Source organism: Homo sapiens, chromosome 22 (genome assembly GCF_000001405.40).
Source record: "Homo sapiens chromosome 22, GRCh38.p14 Primary Assembly".
Lineage (NCBI taxonomy): Eukaryota > Metazoa > Chordata > Mammalia > Primates > Hominidae > Homo > Homo sapiens.
The window spans coordinates 43604722-43629666 of NC_000022.11; the positions used below are offsets into that span (position 1 = coordinate 43604722).

Below are 24945 nucleotides of genomic sequence, written 5' to 3' on the forward strand. Positions count from 1 at the left end.
ATGCTGTACATGGCACAGCTGCTTTTTCACAGTCTCTTCTGTTTATATTTGAATACTGATATATAACTCACCTGCCATATCAAGAAATGTGCATAAATTGGGCATTAATTATCTTGCAAACTTTCTGGCAGGTCTGCTTGGCTGGCTAGTTTCACACACGCAAGGATCTCCACGGATATTTCCGAGCCTGCTGCTTTTCCTACTCGGGTCGGCCCTTTGGTGAGTTTTCAGAGCACACCCTCTCCCTCTTCAGAGTTTTCTAGCAAAGTTTGTTTTAGATTCAAAGAGTTGAATTCTACCTGGTTAAATGAGGCTACAGCAGGTGCTCGGAATGCCAAGCCCTCCCCAAGGAGGTGCCTCCCATGTCCAGGGTCAACACTGAGCGACACCCTGTGCCTGGCCTTCCAACTGAAACCACCTTTGCAGAAAGTATGACACTGAGAGAAATCGGATGTCGCTGACTCTATCCTGCTTCTAACCACACAAACTGCCCTTGCTCATTCCTGGGTGTAGGCCAAGCTAACTATGGGAAGAATTTAATTCATAATTTAACTTTAAAGCAAAGATGATAACGATCCTTTTGCAAAACTGACCCCTTCCTTGCTCAGGGACTGAAACCACCTTTGTAAAACTCCACAAGGGGCCAGGCCTGGTGGCTCATGCCTGTAATCCCAGCACTTTGGGAGGCCGAGGCAGGCAGATCACGAGGTCAAGAGATCAAGACCATCCTGGCCAACATGGTGAAACCCCATTTCTACTAAAAATACAAAAATTAGCTGAGCGTGGTGGTGCGTGCCTGTAATCCCAGCTACTTGGGAGGCTGAGACAGGAGAATCGCTTGAACCTGGGAGGCGGAGGTTGCAGTGAGCTGAGAATCGTGCCACTGCACTCCAGCCCAGTGACAGAGTGAGACTCTGTCAAAAAAAAAAAATCTCAGTTTCACAAGATGGAAAGAGTTCTGGAGCTGGACGGTGGTGACAGCTGCACTGCATGATGAACGTATTGAATACCACCGAGCTGTGTGCTTAAAATTGGTGAAGATGGTAAACTGCGTTATGTATATTTTGACACAGTAAAAAAGTGGAGAACAAAAACAATAGCAGTGAAGAAAATCTTGAATCAATAAAAACTTGATTTGATTTTGAAAATGTAGATATTGCATGCAATACTTTCCAGGAAGTAGCTCATCTAATGAAGTGAAATAAAAATGATAGGTGCTATAATTTGCAAAGTGTCCTAGGAACTGCACGATTGACCTAAGGGAAAATGAAAAACACGGACACGGGAGGGGTCACCAGGTGAATGTGTGTGCCAACCCAAAGGCAATTCCAGAGGGAAAAAGGGATTCACTGAAGGGAGGAAGTAGAGGAATTACCAGCCCAAGAACTGGACTTTTCTATGGCCTCCAAATGTATTCTCTCTCTAGCAAACCAGATTCACCATCACTCTTCCACTTCCTCATAAATTAATCTTGTATGTGAAATAACTCAGCTTAAAAGCCCAGTTTATTAGCGCTTGATTTCTGAGCCTTCAGAGGTCCTGACAGGGATACAGCACTTAATTACCAAGACTTTCTCTCCTTAAGAGCATTTGAGTGTCTTTGGCGATGAGCTCTGGATTACTCGTTTATCTTGGTCATCCTCAGCCCTGCAAACCTCTGCAAAGGCGCAGACCCAGTGTTTAAGAAGCATTTGCTGGGTGAACAAATGAAGAAAGGGTGTGTTAAATGTACTGAGTGGTTACTGCATGCCACGCCCTGGGCTAGCACTTAATATGACTCCTTACCCAGGACTCAAGTGGCCCTGGGTGACAGGGAACATCATCTACTGCTTTGCAGATGATGAGGAGTATATGGCACAGAGAAGCTAAGTAACTTGATGGAGGCCACACAGCAGGAAGCAGGCAGGAGTCATGCCCACGCATCTGGCTGCAGAGCTGTTGCTCTTAACCACTCACCATGTGTGGCATGAGGTCAACTAAACAATAGTGGACAAAACTCTGACTGCAAGCAGTTGTCAACACAGGGTGAAAATCTGCACATTTCATAATTATGTTCATAAACATGTAAAGAAACTTTAGCCACAAGCCAACAGTGAGTGTCCACCTCCAATTGAAATGGAAACAAGTTCTGTCCCACCCTCAGAAACAGGCTCCGTCCACTCTCATTTCCCACATGGCAACCCTTGTGGGGGACATGACTCCAATACCTCTCATTCCCATGGCCAGCCCCCACTCAGGGGTTCGTCCTCTCCCCCCGGTGATGGTGGTGGTCTCCCAGGGCCAGCACCCCCAGCCATCCTGTCCCCTGAACTGACTCACCTTCCTAAACCGCAGCTCTGTTCACCCCACAACCACACTCAAATTCCATTGTTCCCGACTGCCTGGTCAATAACACCAGAAAGCTAGGACCTGGTAAGGGAGCAGCCCTACCCTTCCTTTCTGACCCTGGGAGCCCCATGCCACTTCTGATAGAACACCTGCCTCCCTGCAGACAGGTGGCCTGCTGAACAAGAATGTCTCCTTCTCCATCTGGACCCATGACAGCTTCCAGCCCCCGCTAGCCCCATGCTCCTGCCTCACTGCCCATGCCACTTGACTTGCTCTCTGCTCAGGGGTTTTGCACAGTTGTTGCTGTACCATAGCTACCTGTGTGAATGCATTCTGTGCCCTGACAGCTCCCCAAAGACAGGGACCATGTTGTCATCTTTGGATTATCCTAAAGTCAACTGAGAGGCAGGGCTATGCATTTGCCTACTCCACAAAGATCTGCCTATACCCAGCTGGAACTACTAGTGTAAGCTACTCAAACAGAAATGGGCAGGGAGTCTAACTGGACCCTGTGTTGGAACTGATCTTTAAAAAGTAAGCATTTTGTAAGAACTTCCAGTTGCTTTTCTAAATTAGACACAAAACAACCCACCTAATTCTAAACTTGGCCAACATTTCAGCCTTCCACTTTGAACAGATGAAAATCTGGGAAATGGTATGAACTCATGGTTTCATAAGTTTGCCTCCTGAGTGGACGTACGATGTTGGTATACCATCCTGGGGGAATACAGGTGACTACGGACATATAATGAAGAAGGAGGTAATTTGAAGTTGGGTCTGGAACTTGGAAATAGACCACATTGTTAGTGGAATGTGAAACTTAGACATCTATCCAGGGAAGACCATAACTGGGGGCCCAATTCCAAAACAGCTAAATCGAAAATACATTTGACAAATGGAACCAACATCGGATAAAATTTTCGGTTTAAGAGACCCTCGGGAAGCTACTCCAAGTTGCTAAAAGTTTGGTTTTTCTTCCCACAAATTACTTACCTATAAAACAGTTGTGCAGCATTAATTTCCATCTATAGGTAATGGGGAGAAACTCCTTTTCCCTTTACCCATTGCATATCTGCTGAGTGAGTTATATTAGAGTTAAGTCCTTGGAGAGTGACTTGTTTTGTTAAAACAGTAAAGGTCTGGGCTTGAGCTCCCAGGTCCTTGGAAATAGAAACCTCTCAAGTCTGGTATGGATGAGCATTTACCCTGGTTCTCCGTGTTACTGAAGACCAACCCATCCACCAAGGCTGCTTGCTATGAGCACCAAGCAGCAAGGAACAAGGAAAGACACAGGAGATGAGACAGATGCAACCAAGAGAAAATACTCCCAGCCCCCAGTTACCCTGATGTAGGAAAGATTAGGCTGAATTTGCCACAGCAAGCACCCCTAGTCCATAAGAATGGAAACCAACCAGTCTCACGTGCCACTTACCTTGCCCAAAGCTTTTCAAACTCTCTTGGTGTGAGGGGAATATCAAAACCGTACAGTGCGTTCTTTATGTCCCGGCGTCGAAGAATGCCATTGCCCTCATTATCGGTTTCTAGAAAATTCTACAACATCAGAATACGGTATTTAGGAACATGTGAAATGTGCGTATGACAGCAGAAAAGATGTTCAATTAGTCAATATGTGGGAAACTCTAAGGCATCTGTATCCCCATCCACCTCCTTAATCACCTTTTAATCTACGTTCCAGGTATCCTCATCATTCCTGGAAAGAAAGTGATAGAGCAAAACGGAAATGAGAATTAGGGGTCGGAAGGGGGTGGTTTCTGAGTTGCCTCAGGGGTTTGACCTGGATTCTTCTCCTGATCAACAACTTGGGTTCAAAAATGATTAGAAATAAGGGCCAACCAGAGCCCAGGAAATGAGATGGAGGATCCTCATCTCAATGATGGTTTGGTTTTAGCCCTCTGGCTGTAAGAGGGGAAATGAGGGACATTAGACTCCAGCTATTATGACAAGATTATATGGTACCATTTTTATGGCCCTGATGGGTACAGAAGGTATTGTCAGGCATATAAGAGGACCACAGACTTGAATAAGCTAACACGTGTGGTTCTCAGCAATGTCTTTAGTTGTTTCCAAGTAATAGCTCATTTAATCTTCTTCATAACAACATGATGAGGTGGATATAACGGGTACATCTACAGAGTTCTCTGCAAGTATGATACTTAATAGTGAAAGAACAAAACATTCCCCCTAAGATCAGGAACAAAGTGAGAATATCTTCATCACCCGCTATTCTACATTGTACTGCGGGGTCTCAGCCCGTTTAATCAGGCAAGAAAAAGGATAAAAGGTGTAACGATAGGACAGGAAGAAATACAATTATTATTATTCACTGACATGACTGTATACACAGGAATACAAAGAATCCACAAATAAATTATTATAAGAGGTGAATTTAGCAAGCAGTCTGGATTCTATGTCAACAGGCAAAATCAATCACAGTTTTTACATATCAGACACAGAAAGTGAAATTTTAAAAGATAACATTTACAAAAGGAATCAAAAATAGAAAGGCCTAGGAATAAATCTGTGATATCTGAGACATCCTTTATACAGAAAAGTATAAAACTTTACTGAAAGATATTGAAGAAGATCAAAATAAATGGAGAGACACTGTGTTCATGAATTAGAAAACTCAAATATAATAGTAAAGGTGTCATTTTCTTTGTGGAACTCGACAAAGCGATTCAAAACTCTTGAAGAACAAGGTAGAGGGAGTTGCCTACCAATTAATTAAGATGTATCACTAAGTTATCACGACAACAAAGATGTGATGTAGGTGCCAGCACAGGCAAGCTGATCAGGGGAACAGAATGAGGAGGTCAGTAATACCCACGGGCTGTGATGTAGGCAGTGGTGATGCTCAGATCGGCCAGGGGAAGGGGGACTTCACAATGACCAGTGCTGGGACAGCTGGACTTCCATATGGAGGAAATGAGACTGGGTCCCTGCCTCACCACACTTGGGAAACATCTAGTCCAGATTTCAAGACCTGAATGTGAAAGTTGAAACTGTCAAGCTCCTGTAAGAGAGTGTGAGAGAACATCTTCATGACTCCAGAGTAGAATTCTTAAACAAGATCTACAGAGAGATGTTAGTAAATTTGACTACATTAAAAAGAACTTATATTTATCAAAAGACATCATATAAAAAAGGTAAGAACACATAATACACACTGAGAGATGATAGTTGCACCACACGTCACTTACAAAACAGCAGGATCCACAGAGCAGTGTATACTATGACCATCGTCACAGTTTCTGTTGACCAATGAGAAAAAGACAAACCAGTAGGAAGACTTAAAGTCTCGAGCAAGCACTTCACAATCAAGGAAACCTGACCAATAAATGACCAAGTGAATATACTCAATCTCACTAATAACAAACAAAATGCCAATCAAATCTGCAATGAGATACTATTACATATCCACTAGAGTGGAAAAAACTAGGAAGTCTGATGGTACCAAGTGCTACAGGGTTGAGCAGTTTTGACAGAAAATCAAAAATATTTACTATCTGGGCCTTTACAGAAAAAGTGTGCTGGCTCCTGGTCTAAGATATTGGCAATATTCTTTTCCTTCACCTGAATGGTGGTTACATGCTGACTACTTTAAACTTATTTAAACTATACATATGTATTTTATATACTTCATTGTAGAGTCATAACTTAAAAAAAAATTATGCTTTAAAAAAAATTGAGTCTGTAGGATTTCAGAGTCCCTTTAAAAACACGTAGCAGGTCTGGCATGTAAGAAACTTGGAAGTTACCACTGTCCCAACAACAAGTAAAAATCTGAACAAATTGGAAAATCAACAACTCTTTTTAAATCATAAGACAAGTGAAGTTACAGGCCAAATCACTGTCCCCAAAACTGGAGAGACAGACAGGTGAATACAGAGAATCACAATTTACTGGGACAGACACCCATAAGCAGAAAACTTTACAGGAACTTATGTCAGAAAGATAGAAGTGGAGGGAATAATTCCTAACTTATTCTATGAGACCAGTATTGCCCTAATACCAAAACCAGACAAAGATATTACAAGTAAAGAAAACTACACACCATCATCTCTCATGAGAGATAATGTCATTGATAGTTCACCAGTCATAGCATTGAACCTGTAAATTGCTTTGGACAGCATGGTCTCAAACTGACAGCAAAATTAGGAATGTAATCCCATTCACAATTGCCACAAAAAGAACAAAATACCTTGGAATATAGCTAATCATGGAAGTGAAAGTTTTCTACAATAAGAATTACAAAACACTGCTCAAAGATATCAGTGATGACACAAACAAATGGAAAAACATTCCATGCTCATGGATTGGGATAATCAATATCATTAAAATGACCATACTGTCCAAAGCAATTTAGAGATTCAATGCTATTCCTGTTGAACTACCAATGGCATTCTTCGTAGAGCTAGAAAAAGCTGTTTTTAAATTCATATGGGACTAGGCGTGGTGGCTCACACCTATAATCCCAGAACCTTGGGAGGCTGAGGTAGGCAGATCGCTTGAGCCCAGGAGTTCAAGACAAGTCTGGGAAACATGGCGAAACCCTATCTCCACAAAAAATACCAAAAATTAGCTGAGTGTGGTGGCACATGTCTGTGGTCCCAGCTATTTGGGAGGCTGAGGTGGGAGAATGGCTTGAGCCTGGTAGGCTGAGGTTACAGTGAGCCAAGATCACACCACTGCACTCCAGCCTGGGTGACAGAGTGAGACCCTGTCTCAAAATAAAATAAAATAAAATAAAATTCATATGGAACCAAAAAGAGTCTAAATAGCCAAGGCAATCCTAAGCAAAATGAATAAAGCTAGAGGCATCAAGTTACCCAATTAAAGTATACTACAGGACTACAGTAACCAAACAGTATGGTACTGGTACAAAAACAGACACATAGACCAGTGGAATAGAATAGAGAGCCCAGAAATAAGACTGCACACCTACAACCATCTGATCTTCAACAAAGCTGACAAAACCCAGCAATGGAGAAAGGATTCCCCTATTCAATAAATGGTGCTGGGATAACTGGCTAACCATATGCAGAAGATTGAAACTGGGCCCCTTCCTTATAACAAATACCCCTTCCTTATAACAGAAAATAAACTCAAGATGAATAAAAGACTTAAACGTCAAACTAAAAACTATAAAAACCCTGGAAGACAACCTAAGCAATACCATTCTGGACATAGGAACTGAGAAATATTTCATGACGAAAGAAAAAATTGACAAATGGGATCTAATTAGATTTGACAGCTTCTGCACAGCAAAACTATCAATAAAGAGACAACCTACAGAATGTGAGGAAAATTTGCAAACTATGCATCTAACAAAGGTCTAACATCCAGCATCTATACGGAACTTAAACAACCCCATTGAAAAGTGGGCAAAGGACATGAACAGATACTTTTCAAAAGAAGAAATACATGTGGCCAACAATCATATGAAAAAAAGCTCATCAGTGATCACTAGAGAAATGCAAATCAAAACCACAATGAGATACCATCTCACACCAGTCAGAATGGCTATCACTAAAAAGTCGGCCAGGTGTGGTGGCTCACACCTGTAATTCCAGCACTTTGGGAGGCCAAGGCGGGTGGATCCCCTGAGGTCAGGAGTTCGAGACCAGCCTGGCCAACATGATGAAACCCTGTCTCTACTAAAAATACAAAAAAATTAGCCAGGCATGGTGGCATGCACCTGTAGTCCGAGCTACTCAGGAGGCTGAGGCATGAGGATCACTTTAACCTGGGCGGCGGAGGTTGCAGTGAGCCTAGATCATGCCACTGCACTCCAGCCTGGCAGACAGAGTGAGACTCCATCTCAATTAAAAAAAAAAAAAAAGTAAAAAAAAACAGATGCTGTAAAGTTGCAGAGAAAAGGGAACGCTTATATACTGTTGGTGGGAGTGTAAATTAGTCCAACCATTGTGGAAAGCAGTGTGGCAATTCCTCAAAGAGCTAAAAACAGAACTACCATTCGACCCAGCAATCCCATTACTGGGTATATGCCCAAAGAAATATAAATCATTCTAAATATATAAATATAAATATATTTATATAACATAAATATATAAATATCATATATAAATATTTTATATAATTTATTTATATAACATATATATTAATATATTTGTTATAGAAATATATTTGTTACATAAATATATTCATATCATATATTTATACAGCAAATATATTCATATCATATATTTATATAACACAAATATAAAGATACATGCACGGGTATGTTCACTGCAGCACTATTCATGATAGTGAAGACATGGAATCAACCTAAATGCCCATGAACGGTAGACTGGATAAAGAAACTGTGGAATATATACATCATAGAATACTACAAAGTCATACAAAAGAATAAGATCATGTCCTTTGCAGGAACATGAATGGAGCTGGAGGCTAACATCCTTTGAAAATTAATGCAGGAACAGAAAACCAAATTCTGCATGTTCTCACTTACAAGTGGGAGCTAAATGATGAGAACACATGGACACAAAGAAGGGAACAACAGGCACTGAGACCTACTTGAGGGTGGAGGGGGAAAGGAGGGGGAGGATTTGGAAAGATAACTATTGGGTATTAAGCTTAGTACCTGGGTGACGAAATAATCTGTATAACAAACCGCCACGGCATGAATTTACTTATATAATAAACCTGCACACATATCCCTGAACCTAAAATAAAAGTTAAAGAAAACTACAATACCATTTACATTAGCACCCCCCAAAATGAAATATTTAGGTATAAATCTAATAAAATATTAGCCAGGAATGGTGGTATGCACCTGTTATCCCAGCTACTTGGGAGGCTGAGGTAGGAGGACCACTTGAAGCCAGGAATTCCAAACCAGCCTGGTCTTATTTGCAAGAGCTCTTATATGCAAGAGCTATATAATGAAAACTACAAAACTCTGACGAGAAATGTTTAATGTTTGCAAAACCTAAATAGAGACATTCCATGTTTATGGATAGGAAGGCTCAATAGCATCAAATATAGGTTCAATTCAATCCAAATCACAATCCCAGCAAATTGTTTGGTAGAGATCCATAAACTTATTCTAGATGCAAAGACTCAGAATAGCCAACACAATACTGCAAAAAAAAAAAAAAAAGAACAAACTTGGAGAACTGACACTACCTGATGGCCAAGATTTACTATAAGGCTACAGTAATCATGACAGTAGTACTGGTTAAAGAAAAGACAAGTAGACCAATGGAACACAATAGAGAGTCCAGAAACAGACCCACATAATCAACATACCCTTGACAAAGGGGCAAAGGCAACTCAACAAAGCAAAGACAGTCTTTTCAATAAATGGTGCTGGAACAACTGGACATCCACCTTTAAATAAATGAATCTAGACACACAGACCTTATACCCTCCACAAAAATTAACTCAAATGGATCACAAACCTAATTATAAAATACAAAACTATGAAACTCTCGTAAGACGGCATAAGAGAAAATTTAGATGACCTTGAGTTTGGCAGTGACTTGTTAGATACAATCCATGAAAGGTTCTAGTCCCGACCCTTTCCTTACCCTGAACCTAGAGGGCTGCTCTGAAAGTGGGCCACACAGAGCTCCAGTCTGTGGGATTGGTTGGTGTGGGCCAGCGCAGACAGTCCACTCCATAGAGTACACAATACAGACAGTTGACTCTATGGAGTTCACAGCACAGACAGTCCACTTTATGCAGCCCACAGCACAGACAGTCCACTCTATAGAGTCCACAGTGCAGCAAGTCCTGTCTGTGGAGTCCACAGCACAGACAGTCTGCTTTATGGAGTCCACAGCACAGACAGTCCACTCTATGGAGTCCACAGCACAGACAGTCCACTCTATGGAGTCCACAGCACAGACAGTCCACTCTATGGAGTCCACAGCACAGACAGTCCACTCTGTGCAGGACAGGAGGTTGGGTAGAGACAGTCCCTGGAGGTTAGCAGGACTTCAAAGACAAAATTCTTTTCACACTGGGCACAGGCCAAGAAAGAGCACACACAGAAAGAAAATGACCAAGTGAAACAAAGTGGAGGTATTTTTCAAAATAATGTGAAAATATTTCCATAATGCAGTTTAAAAAATACTTATTAGAGGGAAGCTATTGCATTCTTGTTGCATTATAAAGTGGTGATCTCCAGCCTAGATTTCAGGACAAACTCGGTTTTGCACATGCAGTTCTATTATCTTGTAGGTCTGGCTGTCATTGGCCCTGCTGGATTAGACAGCCCCATCTCAATACCATAATCACAGTTCACAGGATTGCACGTGGAGGGTATCCACCCTGTAAATGTGCTTCTATAATTTTGGCAAGACAGGAAGAAACAGCTCTTTAAAATGTATGTTTATATTGTATAAAATTAAGTACAACAGCATCTTATATTTTTCATGTATTAGGTTGGTGCAAAAGTATTGCAGTTTTTCCGTTAAAGTAATGGCTAAAACTGCGATGACTTTTGCACCAACCAAATAAATTTTTAATTCATATCCAGCCTGAAGTAATGCCAGGAATTTTGGTCCATGTAACTCCAACAATTCCTTATCTTTCTAAACCTCACTTGACCTTGAATGTGAGAATTTAGTTTGAAAAAGTCTTTTAAGAATAGCAGGAGTCCTCACACTGGGTACACAGAGTTGTTTTCCCATCTTAGCGTCTGGATCTGAACAGCTTCATCATCCCAGTGATCTTGAAACATTGAAATAGATTTTCTTTCCTTTTAAGGAAATAATCATTTTCTTACCTTAGACAAGTCTGACCATCTGTTTTTTGCTTTGGTAACAAGATACTGATGAGCCTGCTCACAAGCTAGTTCTGAATCCGCAACCTTCTGTTTTGGTCTTAAAAGAAAAAAAATAATAAATAACTGTGTTTAAATTTAATGGGCTCATTAATCTCCCAAGGGGTTTCCCTATCCCCCCTGTTTGTTTCAAGGATACCATTAAAGTCTGTTATTTCACTTCTGGTTTAACTTAATTCTTAAAATACAGTCTTATTTCTCCAGCTGCATGTCAGGGAAGTCTTCTTAAATTTTGTAAGTCCTTGTTTATTTTCAGATAAATGCTATTCAACTTTTTTCTTTTCAGCACACAAAACAAACAGGGCTCATTTATTCTCAGAAGGGGGAAAACACAATATAACATTAAGTGTCTTGGGAGGAAAACAGCTAAAAACTTTTATTTCTGAATTTGCAAGTTGGAGAGATAATGGAGACTACAGGAAATGGTTGAGAAACATTGGGGGAACTTCTCAGTCTCAGCTCATTTTCCAAGGTGAGGCTTGTAGGATTTAAAGATAGGGCCGGGTGCAGTGGCTCACGCCTGTAATCCCAGCACTTTGGGAGGCCAAGGCGGGTGGATGACTTGAGGTCAGGACTTCGAGATCAGGCTGGCCACCATGGTGAAACCCCGTCTCTACTAAAAATACAAAAATTAGCTGGACATGGTAGAAACGTGCCTGTAATCCCAGCTACTCAAGAGGCTGAGGCAGGAGCATTGCTTGAACCTGGGAGGCGGAGGTTGCAGTGAGCTGAGATTCGTGCCATTGCACTCCAGCCTGGGGGAGAGCACGAGACTCCATCTCAAAAATAAATAAAAATGATCAAAATTCTATCATATTTACTCACAGGATGGACACTTAAAAAAAGACCCTTTGCTCACAGGTCCCTGCTAGGCCACAGTAAAGCACAGTAAAGGCTGAGGCTGGAGGGGCTGGGATGCCCTAGATCTTTCCACGCACTAGAACAAATTAGGAATGGAGGAAAATGTGTAAAGTCCATGTGCACACCCACATTGGCACCTGGCCAGTGTAAACTGCAGTCACTGTGATTTTCCTTCTTCACCTGACTCCCGCTGCCCTTGACTGTGCTGTCTCTCTCCACTCTCTTCTGAGAGGTCATCTCTTCTGATGTCCCCAACTACAGCCTTGATGCTGCTTGCCCATAAGTCTGCACCACTGGTACTACAACCTCACCTGCTTTTCTGTGCCATCTTTCTCCAACTGCCTACCGGACTCTGCAGAATCATGGAATTTCGAGGGTGGAAAGGGATCCAAAGTTCAACCAGCCAATCCCCTATGACTACTTGACCATGCAAGCTTTGGAAAATTGATGGAATTACGTTGCATTTTTACAATTTTTGCTTAAAAGGACTGTAAGTCCTAATGATGTCTATTTCCCTGCCTTCACTTTTAGACTCCTCCTAAATTCCACCTGCACCAGAGGACTCACCTGAACCTCCCCAAAGTGCTGTCAGAGAGCCCCTGAGGGGCATGTGCTATCTCAGCAAAGTCAGTAGATCCCAGTTGATCTCATGGTCTAAACACATATCCAAACAGCCCTATGCCCCCTACTTTTCACACCCTGATTTCTTTTCTAGAATATAAGGCTTGATTATTTCCTTAGTTATCCATGAGCAAACCAATGAATCCTACTGATTTTCCATCCATTTTCCCCTTCCTCATTTTACATACTTGGCCCTCTTGAGAGATCAGGAGGTTTTCTGGTGGTTACTTAATTCCTCTCCTATTGCCCAGCTTGTTAAATCTTGACAATCAGTCAGATCCAGCCTTCCTTCCTATCAGTCAGCTCGTTAGTCACAGATACATAGGAATAGTCACTATGTGCTGCTCTAGAACCTGCAGACACAATGACTAGCAATGTGGACAGAGTCCACATTCCCAAGGAGCTTACACTGTGATGGAGAAACTTAGAACAAACACACAAGAAAAACAAGTGACTCGGCTGGGTGCAGTGGCTCACGCCTGTAATCCCAGCACTTTGTGAGGCCGAGGTGGGCAGATCACGAGGTCAGGAGTTTGAGACCAGCCTGGCCAACATGGTGAAACCCCGTCTCTACTAAAAATACAAAAATCAACTGGGTGTGGTGGTGCACGCCTATAATCCCAGCTACTTGGGAGACTGAGACAGGAGAATCACTGGAATCTGGGAGGCGGAGGTTGCAGTGAGCTGAGATTGTGCCACTGTACTCCAGCCTGGGTGACAGAGTGAGACTCCATCTCAAAAAAAAAATCTCAAAAAAAAAAAAGAAAGAGACAGAGAGGAGGAAGGAAGGAAGGAAGGAAGGAAAGAAAGAAAGAAAGAAAGAAAGAAAGAAAGAAAGAAAGAAAGAAAGAAAGAAAGAGAAAGAAAGAAAGAGAGAGAAAGAGAAAGAAAGAAAAGTGACTCGGATAACTTCAGATACTGCATGGGACCAAGAATGATGGGGCAGGGGAGACTTCGTCAGGAAGACCAGGGAGTGGCTCTTTGACAGCCGCATGAAGACCTCAGGGAACACACTCCAGGCAGTATGAGGGTCTTGAGAGGTGCTTCCGGTCCCAGTTAAGATGGAGTAGGCACACTTCACCCTTTCTCTCCTTCTTATGACAACCCAAAATCCTACACAGAATACAAAACACAACTATCTGAGGTAAATAATAGAAGGCTGATGGAGGGAGAAATCAAAATTCGAAGAATGACAAAGTTATGAGTTTCATGGGGCTTTCCTCCCATGTTCCCAGCTTAAGAGTCAAGAGCAGTCCTAATTCTGGAACTGTGCAGCAGATGTGAACAGAAAAAGGTCCAAAAGAAAGGCTGACTTTCTGACCAAAGAGCTAGGATAGGATGGAGGGCCTCTTCGGGACAGAGTGGCAGGAATTCCTGTTTTTGTCTCTGTTTACTCTCCCAGCCCAATTCTGAGACTGCACTTTTGTAATGGTGCCAACGATAGCAGTGGCCAAAACGTTAAAATTTTCTCTAACCAGAAAAAATGGGAAAAGGGGCCCTGTGATTCAAGGAATATTGGGAAATCCATGTTAATTTTCTCTCTCTCTTTTTTTTTTTTTCTTCTCTCACTAGGGCCCTGAAGGTGGCCCTCACCATGAGACATGCGGAGCAGCACAGATAGGCTAAAACCTAAGATTTTCTAGCCAGAAGACCCAGAAAAGTAGCCCTTGGGGGCTACAGAGTGTGGGGGAGATCATAGAGAAGAGAGAGCTAGAAGAAAGGACATCTGTGCAGGAAGTTCCAGGTTCATCTCTGATGTGTAAAGGTGTGGAACTGACCCCAAGCAGCATAGCAACCAGCTTTGAGAACATGATTACTGTGTAGTTAAGACTGACTTCTAGGTGGTGCACACGTGGGTTTCCCTGAAGAGCGCTGCAATGACTTTGAAAACAAAATTGACATTAAAACCACAGAAGGCACGTTAGGACTTGCAGTCTAAAACTAACTAGGCTGATTGCCTGCTAAAATAATGACCAAAAACAATCAACACACTACAGAGGATTTTAACAAAATCAGAGTGTCATAATAAAACACTTAAAATATCTAAGATACAGTCCAAAGTGATATAAAATACCAGAAAAATCTCCATAATGCTCAATGTAAAAGACAACAGACACCAACCCCAAGATTAACTAGATGTTGAAATTATCAGATTGTAAAGCAGCTATTATATTCATGAAGAGCAAACATACTTGAAAGAAAGAAGAAGGAAAAAGGAAATAACCAAAATACAGTAACTGAAATGACGTTTACTGGATTGGGTCAATGGCAAAATGGAATGACAGAGGAGTCAGCAAAGTTGAAAACTCACGAACAGAAATCTCTCAAACTGAACAAAAGAGAAAATAAAAATAACATAGTCTCAGAGATACAAAACCTGTGATACAAAACCAAAAGGTCTAAGCTTCATGTCATTGAGGTACCAAAAGGAGAAGAAAAAGATGGGTACAGAAAAAGCATTTTTAAAAATAATAGCTGAAAATGCCATAAATTTGGCATAAAACATAAATTTACACATTTAAGAAGCTCAGTAAATCCAAAAATAGATAAACAAAGACAAAACAAACAAAAACCACCAAAAAACCCATGGTCAAACAAATCAAATCATAAATTATAATCAATTGTCTGAAAAACTAAAGATCAAAAAAATCATCTCTAAAGTAGCCTGAATGGTCTGGCGCAATGGCTCATGCCTGTGATCCAAGCCCTTTGGGAGGCTGAGATGGGAGGATTGCTTGAACTCAGGAGTTCGAGACCAGCATGGGCAACATGGCAAGACCCTGTCTCTAGAAAAAATAAAAATTTAGGCATGATGGTGCTCACCTGTGATTGCAGCTACTTGGGAGGCTGAGGTGGATCACTTGGACCTGGGAGGTCAAGGCTGCAGTGAGCTGTGATCGCACCACCACGCTCCAGTCTGGGTGACAGAGTGAGAGAGCTAGTTAAAAAAAGAAAAGAAAAGAAAAAAGAAAAGAAAAGAAAAGAAGCCTGGGAAAAAAGGCATATTAAATATGAGAAAACGGAATACTTGCATACTTCTTGCCACAGATTATGGAGGCCAGAAGACCATGGAACAACATTTTTAAAGTGCTGAAACAAAAGGAATGTCAACCCCAAACTCTATATCCAGCAAAAATATCTTTCAAGAATAAAGAATAAAGATATTATAAATTGAAGAAAACTAAGACAATTTGTCTCCAACAGACCTGCTCTAAAAGATGTCCTATAGGAAGTTCTTCAGGGGAAGAAGAATGATAGCTGAGAGAAACTTAGAACTTCAGAAAGAGAGGAATAGCAACAGAAATGGTAAATACCTAGGAAATTATAATACACAATTTTTTTTCTCAGAGTTTCAAATACATGAAGCATAAATTAATAGTATTAGAAAAAGAAATAGACAAATTCAAAACTATTGCTGGAGACTTTAACACTCCTCTCTTAGTAACTGATAGAATAAGGAGATAGAAAATAATGAAGAATATAGAAGGCCTGAACAACACTAATAACCAACTTGATCTGACATTTACAGAACACTCCACCCAACAGCACCAGAATACACATTCTTTTCAAGTATACACAGAATATTTACCAAGACAGACCATATCCAGGGTCATAAAACAAACCTTAACTAATTGAAAAGAATTAATATCACACAAGATATGTTCTCTGACCACAACAGAATTAAACTAGAATCAATAAAAGAACAATATTTAAACACTATGCAATTTTTTTTTTTTTTTTTGAGACAGAGTCTCACTCTGTCACCCAGGCTGGAGTGCAGTGGTGCGATCTCGGCTCACTGCAACATCCACCTCCCAGGTTCAAGCAATTCTCCTGTCTCAGCCTCCTGAGTAGCTGAAATTACAGGCACCCACCACCACACCTGGCTGATTTATTTATTTATTTATTGTATCTTTAGTAGAGACGGGGTTTTGCCATGCTGACTAGGCTGGTCTTGAACTCCTGATCTCAAGTGATCCGCCCACCTCAGCCTCCCAAAGTGCTGGGATTACAGGCATGAGCCACTGTACCTGGCCTGAACATGATGCAAATATTTTGAAATTAAACAACACACTTCTAAATAATCCATGGATCCAAGAGGAAGTCTTAAGGGAAATTAGAAAATAATTTGAAAATGAATAAAAATTAAAACTACAACATATCCAAATTTGTGAAATGCAGCTAAATCAGTGCCTACGGGGAAATACATTACATTAACGGCTTATATGAGAGAAAAAATGACTCAAATAAAAACTATGAGTTTCCAATTTAAGAAATATAAAAGATAAACTGAATCCAAAACAAGCAGAAAGAAGGAAATAATAAAGACCAAAAATCAATAAAATTGAAATCAGAAAAATAGAGAAAAATCAATAAAAACAAAAGCTAGTTCTTTTAAAAGATCTGTGAAAGTGGGAAGCCTTAGCTGAATTGATGAAGAAGAAAGGAGAAAAGAGATCAACTATGAAAGTGATAAATGAAATAAGGAATCTCACTAAATACTTCACAGATACTTTAAAAAAATTAAAAGAACACCATGAACCATATTAATTCCATGAATTTGACAACCTTGATGACCAATATTTTGAAAGATGCAAATTAGCAAAACTCACTTGAGATGAAATAGAAACTCTGAATAATCCAATAACTATTAAATTAACTGGATTTATAGGTACAAGCCTTCCAACAAAGGACATTCCAGGACTTGATGATTTCACTGGTTAATTTAATGAAATATCTAAGGAAGAATAACCATTCCATACAATCCAGAAAATAGAATAGAAAGGAATACTCCCAGTTCATTTTATGAAGCTAGCAGTGCCATGATACCAAAATCAGGGCTGGTATTCATGACTTTTATTATTCTTAGATGTCTTACAAAATAAATCACTTATTTTCTTTATAAAATAAAGCTCATTCTGGCATGCAGTGGCTCACGTCTGTAATCCCAGCACTTCAGGAGGCCAAGGTGGGTGGACCACTTGAGGTCAGGAGTTCGATACCAGCCTGGCCAACATGGTGAAACCTTGTCTCTACTAAAAATACAAAAAATTAGCTGGGCATGGTGGTGTGCACCTGTAGTTCCAGTTACTTGGGAGTCTGAGGCAGGAGAATCGCTTGAACCTGGGAGGCGGAGGTTGCAGTGAGCTGAGATGGCACCATTGCACTCCAGCCCGGGTGACAAGAGCGAAACTCCATCTCAAAACAAACAAGCAAACAAAAACAAACAAACTCATTCTATTTTGCAATTATTATCTGGATCCATTTGTTATGTGGTCTTAGCGATGTTGATTTTAATCTTACTATATCTAACCTAAATAATATATTATCCTAAACAATATTTCATTATTACTCTTCAACTCTTCCTAACTGTGCTAAAAAAGAGAGAGAGAGAGAGATAACAACAAGACCAAAATGATAGAATCACCTGGCAGGATGAGATAATGTTGAAATGAAACACCACTAGGACATCACCCTTCAGTTTTCTTGCGGCAGTGCCCAAAGTTCTACAGTATTTCTCAAGAATGTATAAAAGAAGACAACGACACCATGCTCGGGGTGTTGTGTTAGATTTCACTGAATGCAGCTGGAAATTCAGAATTCCTTCTTTATGCCCAAATGGCTAAGGCAAGAAAATTTGAGAAAGGAAGAGATTTCACAATGATGAGATGATTCAGAAGAGGAAGGCATAGAGACAGAACAGCACTCTAGATTCCAAAGATGATGGTGACACTGATCGTATCAGCTGAAGCGCTTGATGACTGAATGATATATTTCTAAGGATAAAAAAGGAAATTTGGTATTTTCATTCAGTTAGTCATCCAACAGGAAGGATCTGATCATGCAGTATTTGGTGATGGACTATCTAATTTTGCTAAAAGGACACATGAGAATATTCTTTCATCTTTTAAGATGTTTGTGCATTAAAATGTACTCCATGCAGGCTGTAAGTGGATAAATGGTCAAGGCAAGTGTGTTTTAAACAAGGACTGGAAGGGAATCGAAGAAGTAGAAAAAAAAGGAATAAGTCATTGGATCAGTCATTCTACTTGGTATTTATATACCTTAAAATGAAAATGTTTGGCAGTTATGAAGCAAACAAGAGAGTGTCCTCTTTTCAGCAAAGTTATGAACTCTCAACATTTTCCAAAGTATTGTGTTTTTATGATACAGGTGGAAAGTGAAGACCCAGAGAGCAGAGGGGCCCAACCAAGAGGGCAGGAAGACTTTTAGAAAGGGGTGGTATCCGGCCAGGCGCGGTGGCTCACGCCTGTAATCCCAGCACTTTGGGAGGCCAAGGTGGGCGTATCACGAGGTCAGGAGATCGAGACCATCCTGGCTAACATAGTGAAACCCCGTCTCTACTAAAAATACAAAAAAAAAAAAAAAAAAAATTAGCCGGGCATTGTGGTGGGCGCCTGTAGTCCCAGCTACTTGGGAGGCTGAGGCAGGAGAATGGCGTGAACCTGGGAGATGGAGCTTGCAGTGAGCCGAGATTCCGCCACTGTACTCCAGTCTGGGTGACAGAGCGAGACTCCTTCTCAAAAAAAAAAAAAAGAAAAAAAAGAAAAAAGAAAAAGAAAGGGGTGGTATCCAGGTCTGCTTGGTGGTGGAGGTGGAACAGGGCAGGCTGTCCAGGCAGAGGAGGTGGCCCCTCCCAACAGACTCCTGAGCTCAAATCCCTGCCCCACTGCTCATTATCTGTGTCCTTATGGACATGTCACTAACTGTTCTCTGAGCCCGCACTCCTTCATCTGTGAAACCAGCTGGGAATGCCTCCTTTCAAGGCTGCTGGGGTATTAAAGGACATGTCTTCAGGAAACACAACACAGGGCATGGCCAGGGTGGGCTTAGCTTTCTGAAGCAGTGCTTTGGTTTGGGTCCACCAGACCCCGGGGACCAAGTCAGTTCTCACTGGGCTGCAGCCTCTCCTCCTTTGTGTCCATCCTCCACTCCAGGGTACAGAAGGATCTTTCTAAAGCACAGTGTAACTCCCTCACTCCATAGCATACGGCCTCCCCTGCCTACTGATAGAAGGTGACGTCCTTCACAGCCCGCCCTCCTGCCCTCCTGGCCTCCTCCCCAACCAGGCCCACCATGCAGGTGGATCCCACACATGCATCCTCTCCCCATTTCCCAAACGTGCTTAACACTCCCGCCTGCCTCTGTGATCTCGCAAATGCTCTTCCCTGGCCTGGAATGACCTTTCCTCTAGCCTGCACCTGGCAAACTCTTACTCAAACTTCAAGGTCCAGCTCAAACGTCCCTCCTTTTCCTGAGCAACTCACGGGCGCCTCCCTCTGTTCCTGTGGCACTTGGGTCATCTATTTCATACCTGTCTCATACTCGACCCTGAGCCCCTCAAAAGGAGCATCTGGGTCTTATTCACTGTTGTACCGTCTAGTCCTGGGACAATGTCTAGCATATAGTAGGCCCTTAGTAAATATTTGATGAATGAGTGTATACATACAATAATAAGGTTGAGTCATCTGAATGGGAAAACTGCACTTTGCGGTTGAAATTTTCCATGTTCGTTCGGCAGAGAATGGAAAATGAACTTTCTCCAGAGAATTTTTTGGGAAGAATTTTGTTTGTTTGTTTTAATGTTAGGCAATCAAGTCTCATATTAAAGCTCCTGAGAACCTGAGCCGTTGGAAGCAGGTGTCCAACTTACATGTTAGATGATCATTTTGCTATCATCATTTTCTTTCTTGCTTGCTTTTTTATTTTTTTAATATAGACAAAATAAAACCTATGAATTCAGGGAGAAAAATCAGCGTGTAAGATCAGAGGGCCTTCTGCAGCCTAGCCAAGTGTCACAACAGTCTGGCACAGTGGCTGTGGCTTCCAGGGGCTCCACTCTCAGGGAGCTGCCCTTGCCTAGGTAGATGCGATACCTGTCTAGAACCCCTGGGGACCGTGAGTGCCTCAAGGACAAAACAGCATAGTGAGTGTCACTATGATGCTGTATCATCACATGGGAAGACACACCTCAGTACTAGCATAGCGCACAGCATTTCAGAATTACTCATGTAATAATAATTGGTCAAGGAGGAGATGACTTGCTACTTCATTCATGTCGGCTCTCGGCAGATCTCAGCAGGGAGCCGATGGGGACGGGTGATCCCCTGCTGCCACTGTTGGATGGGGTTGGATGGTAGCCCCATTGTGCCTTCAAGGAGTGTACGTGCTCCCTGGGAGAAGGCCAAGGAAACAGCACTGAGCCGGAGCTCAGCTGGACACTGAGATTCTCCTGGCTAAGAGTGACGCCATATGGGCTGGGCAGGGGCCTAGGGGGCAGCACTGCCCGGGGAGGGGCTGGAGGAGGTTCTTGCATCTCCTAAGGCAGTTGGCACAGATAGCTTCTCAGTGCCCATCAATTACTACAAGACGGTCTGCATTCCCCAAATTCACAGCCATCACCTAGCTTAACATTTGGAGGTGAAGAGGAGGTAGGAGGCATCAGTTCCCGAAGAAGAAGGTTACTGTGTTCACTTGACAAAGATTTATCTGCACAGAGTTGGTGCACGGCCCTCCGCCTGCCCCTGCAGAGGACGGGCCCAGCCTTGGACAGAGGACAGGCTGTGCTCACAGGTCTCCCAAGCTTCAATTTTAAAAGACTGAGCAAAAAGCATATATTTTTGAACCCAGATTAATACATAGAAAAATAAGTATATGTATGTATGTGTGTATATATATGTATGTGTGTATATATATATTTTCATACACACATGAATATATATGTAAGTATATGTATATGAAAAAGACACACACGTATATATGTATATATTTATATATGTGTGTCACACACACGTATGTAAGTATATGCATATGAAAAAAGACTGAAATGATACCCAGCAAAATATAAAAATGATGCTCACAGGTGGTAAGACCAGGGCTGTATTTTCTGGTTGTTCTACACTGAGTGCATATTTCTTGTATGACTTTTTCTGAACCAAGAAAAAGAAAAAAATAATCACTCCATTCTTTGTATCCCTTTGCGGACGCCATGGAAATGCTGGACGTCACAGTGGCACGGGCCGGCATATATTAAAGACACAGACCCGTGCTGCCTTCTTACCTAATGAGTCTTTGAGGCGCTTCATCTGTTCTCCATGGTCTCTTCTCACACAAATTTTGAAATTCCCGAAAATTTAAAGTGACACTAAGTCTCAAGCCAAGAAGGCCAAGGAAGCGCTCAAACTCGTCGTCTTTGAGATTAAGCAGTAGATGCAGGAGCAGTCTGTGAAGGTCATGCATGTTGATTATGCCATCCCTGTCAGCATCTGTTTTAAAGAAGGCAGAGTAGGGGTCCTAAAAACAAAACACACACGTCAAAGCCCTTCCCCAAGAGCCCCGGACGGCCACACATGCACACCCCCACGTGTAGAGCCTCATCTCCACGCGAGGAGGGGCAGCTTGGCTGGGCCCCAACTATTGCTTTTAGAGACTTGGCTGTTCCAGGAATATCCTTGCCATGCTTTGCTTTTCCCAAGAAATTATAAAGCTCTCCAGCTACCCAGGGGATATAAATGATCCTCTTTGAATGCAAAGAGTTCAGGGAAAGGAACAGGCCACTTTTCTTTTCCTTCCACACTCTCGGTTTGTGGAGCTTGTACTTCTAGTCCAGGAAGGAAGGGAAGGAGAAAGTACTGGAGGTTTCTGCTCGCAATTTTTTATATCACTTTCATAATGTCTGGCTGCTTCTGTCTACAGCCAAACAAATACTGCACTGAATCTCACACCAAGGAGCCACCTGAAGGCCAGGCCTCTGTTTCGATGACCGTGATAGAGATCAGCCGTGTCTGGGATCCACAAGCCTGCCACAACTGAAGGACTTCCACTCAGCCCATCGTGCTGGTTGGAGGGCACAGGGATTCCTATTTTGCAGATGAGGAAACAGAGGCTCAGGGTTCCCAGGGAATCCGTGACTAGAGACCCTGATGTGTGATGGAGCGTGCACTCTGCAGGCAGGTGGCTCAGTGGCAAACCCCAGCTCTGCCACTTACTAGCAACGTGACCATGGGTGAGATAACCTTGTGATGCTTCTGTTTTCTCATCTGTAAAATGGGGACTATGACAGTCCCTGCGTCCTTGGGTTGTTTGTGAGGAGTGAATTTGCTAATGATGCAAAGTGCTTAGAACGAGCCTGGCTTTCCTGGCATTCTAAAATGCTGTTTGTTGCACTTGCCATTTGCCTAGGATCATACAGCAAGTGCAAGGCTCTGCCCGGGGCCAATGCCTGTTTCCCACATGCACCTGCTTCCCGGGTCTCAGGCCTGAAAAGTTGATGTGGCCCCAACCCGCCTCGTTCCATCGGCACCTGATGCAGCCCCTCACCTAGGAGTTACCTGGCTGCTCTGGCGGCATTGCGCTTGTCCCCTCTTGTTACAGGCTCCTCCCACAGAGGTTACTTAGGATATCAAGCAAGACCTGCTGTGACTCAAGTTCCTCATGCAAGTGTGTGGGGATTTTGTGGAAAGCTCTCTCTGTATTCACTCATGTATTCATTCACCAAAAATTATTCAGTACCTAATATGTGCAATCGCCATGCTAAATACTGTGGAAATGAATTTAAAAGATGCCGCCCCTGCCTCCGGAAGACAATACAGTGTGGCAGGGAGGCTGATGTCTAACTCTGCCCGAGGGGGCCTCCTGGGGTGCAGGCCCATCTGTTTCTTGATGATTCCCTCTATACTCTCAGCCCCAAGCCGCCACCCCCCTGACCCACAGCCTCACATCTCCAGTGGTCTGGGGGCATTTTCTCTGGGATGTCAAACTGAACATGGCCCAAATCAAACTCCTGACCTCCACCCCCTGTCCCCACCCTACTCCTCCTAAGTCTTCCCATCTCAGTAAGTGGAGCTCTTTCCTCCTGGTTGCTCAGACACAAACCTGGGAGCCCTTCTGAGCCCTCGCTTCCTCTCACACCCACATCCAGTCTGCCCACACATCCCGCTGGCTCTCCCTTCAGAGTGCATTAGCACTGGACCCCCTCTCCCAGGCACACCACCTCGGCCCCCACCCAAGGTCGCTGGAGTCCTGCAGGAACCTCGTGATGGCTCCCAGCTGCCATCGTCGGCTCCGTGGCCTCTGCTCTGTGCAATCGCTCCCGAGCGATCCCTTACAGCTGACGTCATGCATGAGGCGCCTCTGCTCAACCCCCTTGACTCTCCTTCTCACTCAGAGTCCAAGGCCAAGGCCTGGCCGTGGCCCACAAGCCTGTCTACACCCCCATCCCACCCGTCCCCTCACTGTTCTCTGAACAGGCCGAGCCTGCTTCAGGGTATCGCAGGGAGCCCTCTCCAGTGTCCGCAGGGCTCACTCTGGCTCCTTCATGACTGTGTCTGAGTGTCCCCTCTCCAGAGAGGCACTTCCTGACTCCTCTGTACAATGGCACCAGCCCTGACTGGCCTCCCACGATCCTCTACTTTTCTCTTTGGCACATGTCACCACCTGATCTAGTAGAGGTTTCTGTGTCCACTGCACTTCCCCCTAGAACATAAGCATGAGTCTGGGCTCTGATCTGTTCCCTGTTGCAGCTCCAGCTCTCCGAGCCATGCTCACCATAACGTCTGTGAGATGGGGCTGCTGGACATGAAGGAGCAGCATTTCCTAGGCACAAAGCACTCTGCTGGGTACACAGACACCATAACTGCAACGTGGGCCCTGACACCCAGGTCCTCACTGTCTATCTACTAGGGAAGCAAGACAGGAAGCAAATCATGGCAATCCAGCGTGATTACTGCAGGGACAGAGGTGTGAGGGCCAGGTGGGGCCAGCCTGGATTCTGGACTCCAGGGACAAGCTAGATGCTATGAGATCATACATGGCTAATCTTCACAAGTTTATAAACTAATCATTCCTCAAATCTCAGTCTTCAGCTTCCCCAATGTTAGTGCGTAGTACAGAGGCTTTGGAATCGAGCCGGTGTTATTTCAGTTCCTGACGGTGCCATGTACTAGAGGTGTGGCTTTGTGTCACTTTTTCCCCGTCTCTGACCCTCAGGGTATCCAGCATAACACGGGAACATTAAACCTACTTGACAGGGTGGTTGCGGGTGTCAGAACACACAAGGCCCTGTGTGTGGCCCTCCAGTTCGCTGCCCAGCATCAGGTGTGGTGTGTTCAATCAGCAAATACAAATCGGTCATGTGCATTGTGGCAGGCACTGTGGCAGCCCCTTGGGTTACTGTGGTGAATGATGTAGAAATGGCTCGGGGCTCACTGTTGAATCTAACTGCAGCACCCTGCGGGCTGTGTGCTATGAGGGACGTGAGGAGAGAGGGGAATGTGCAGTGG

General features: G+C 43.1%; 1 protein-coding gene across 22 annotated transcripts in view; it reads right to left on the reverse strand.

Moving 5' to 3' along the window:
* Positions 1-24945, reverse strand: part of EFCAB6 (EF-hand calcium binding domain 6) — a 283528-nt gene that overhangs the window by 75944 nt on the left and 182639 nt on the right. For 20 of the 22 annotated variants that reach the window (XR_007067980.1, XM_047441462.1, XM_011530319.4 and 17 more), the window contains 3 exons: positions 21726-21958; positions 11105-11201; positions 3761-3879 (listed from right to left, as the gene is read on the reverse strand). Coding sequence is in view for 21 of the 22 variants with exons in the window: in XM_047441462.1 (XP_047297418.1) it covers positions 3761-3879; positions 11105-11201; positions 21726-21958 (449 nt within the window). In the remaining variant the exon portion in view is untranslated. Of the gene's footprint in view, positions 1-3760; positions 3880-5187; positions 5363-11104; positions 11202-21725; positions 21959-24945 lie in introns of those variants that run through there. The other 2 variants (XM_047441463.1, XM_011530330.4) reach the window with 2 other exon arrangements.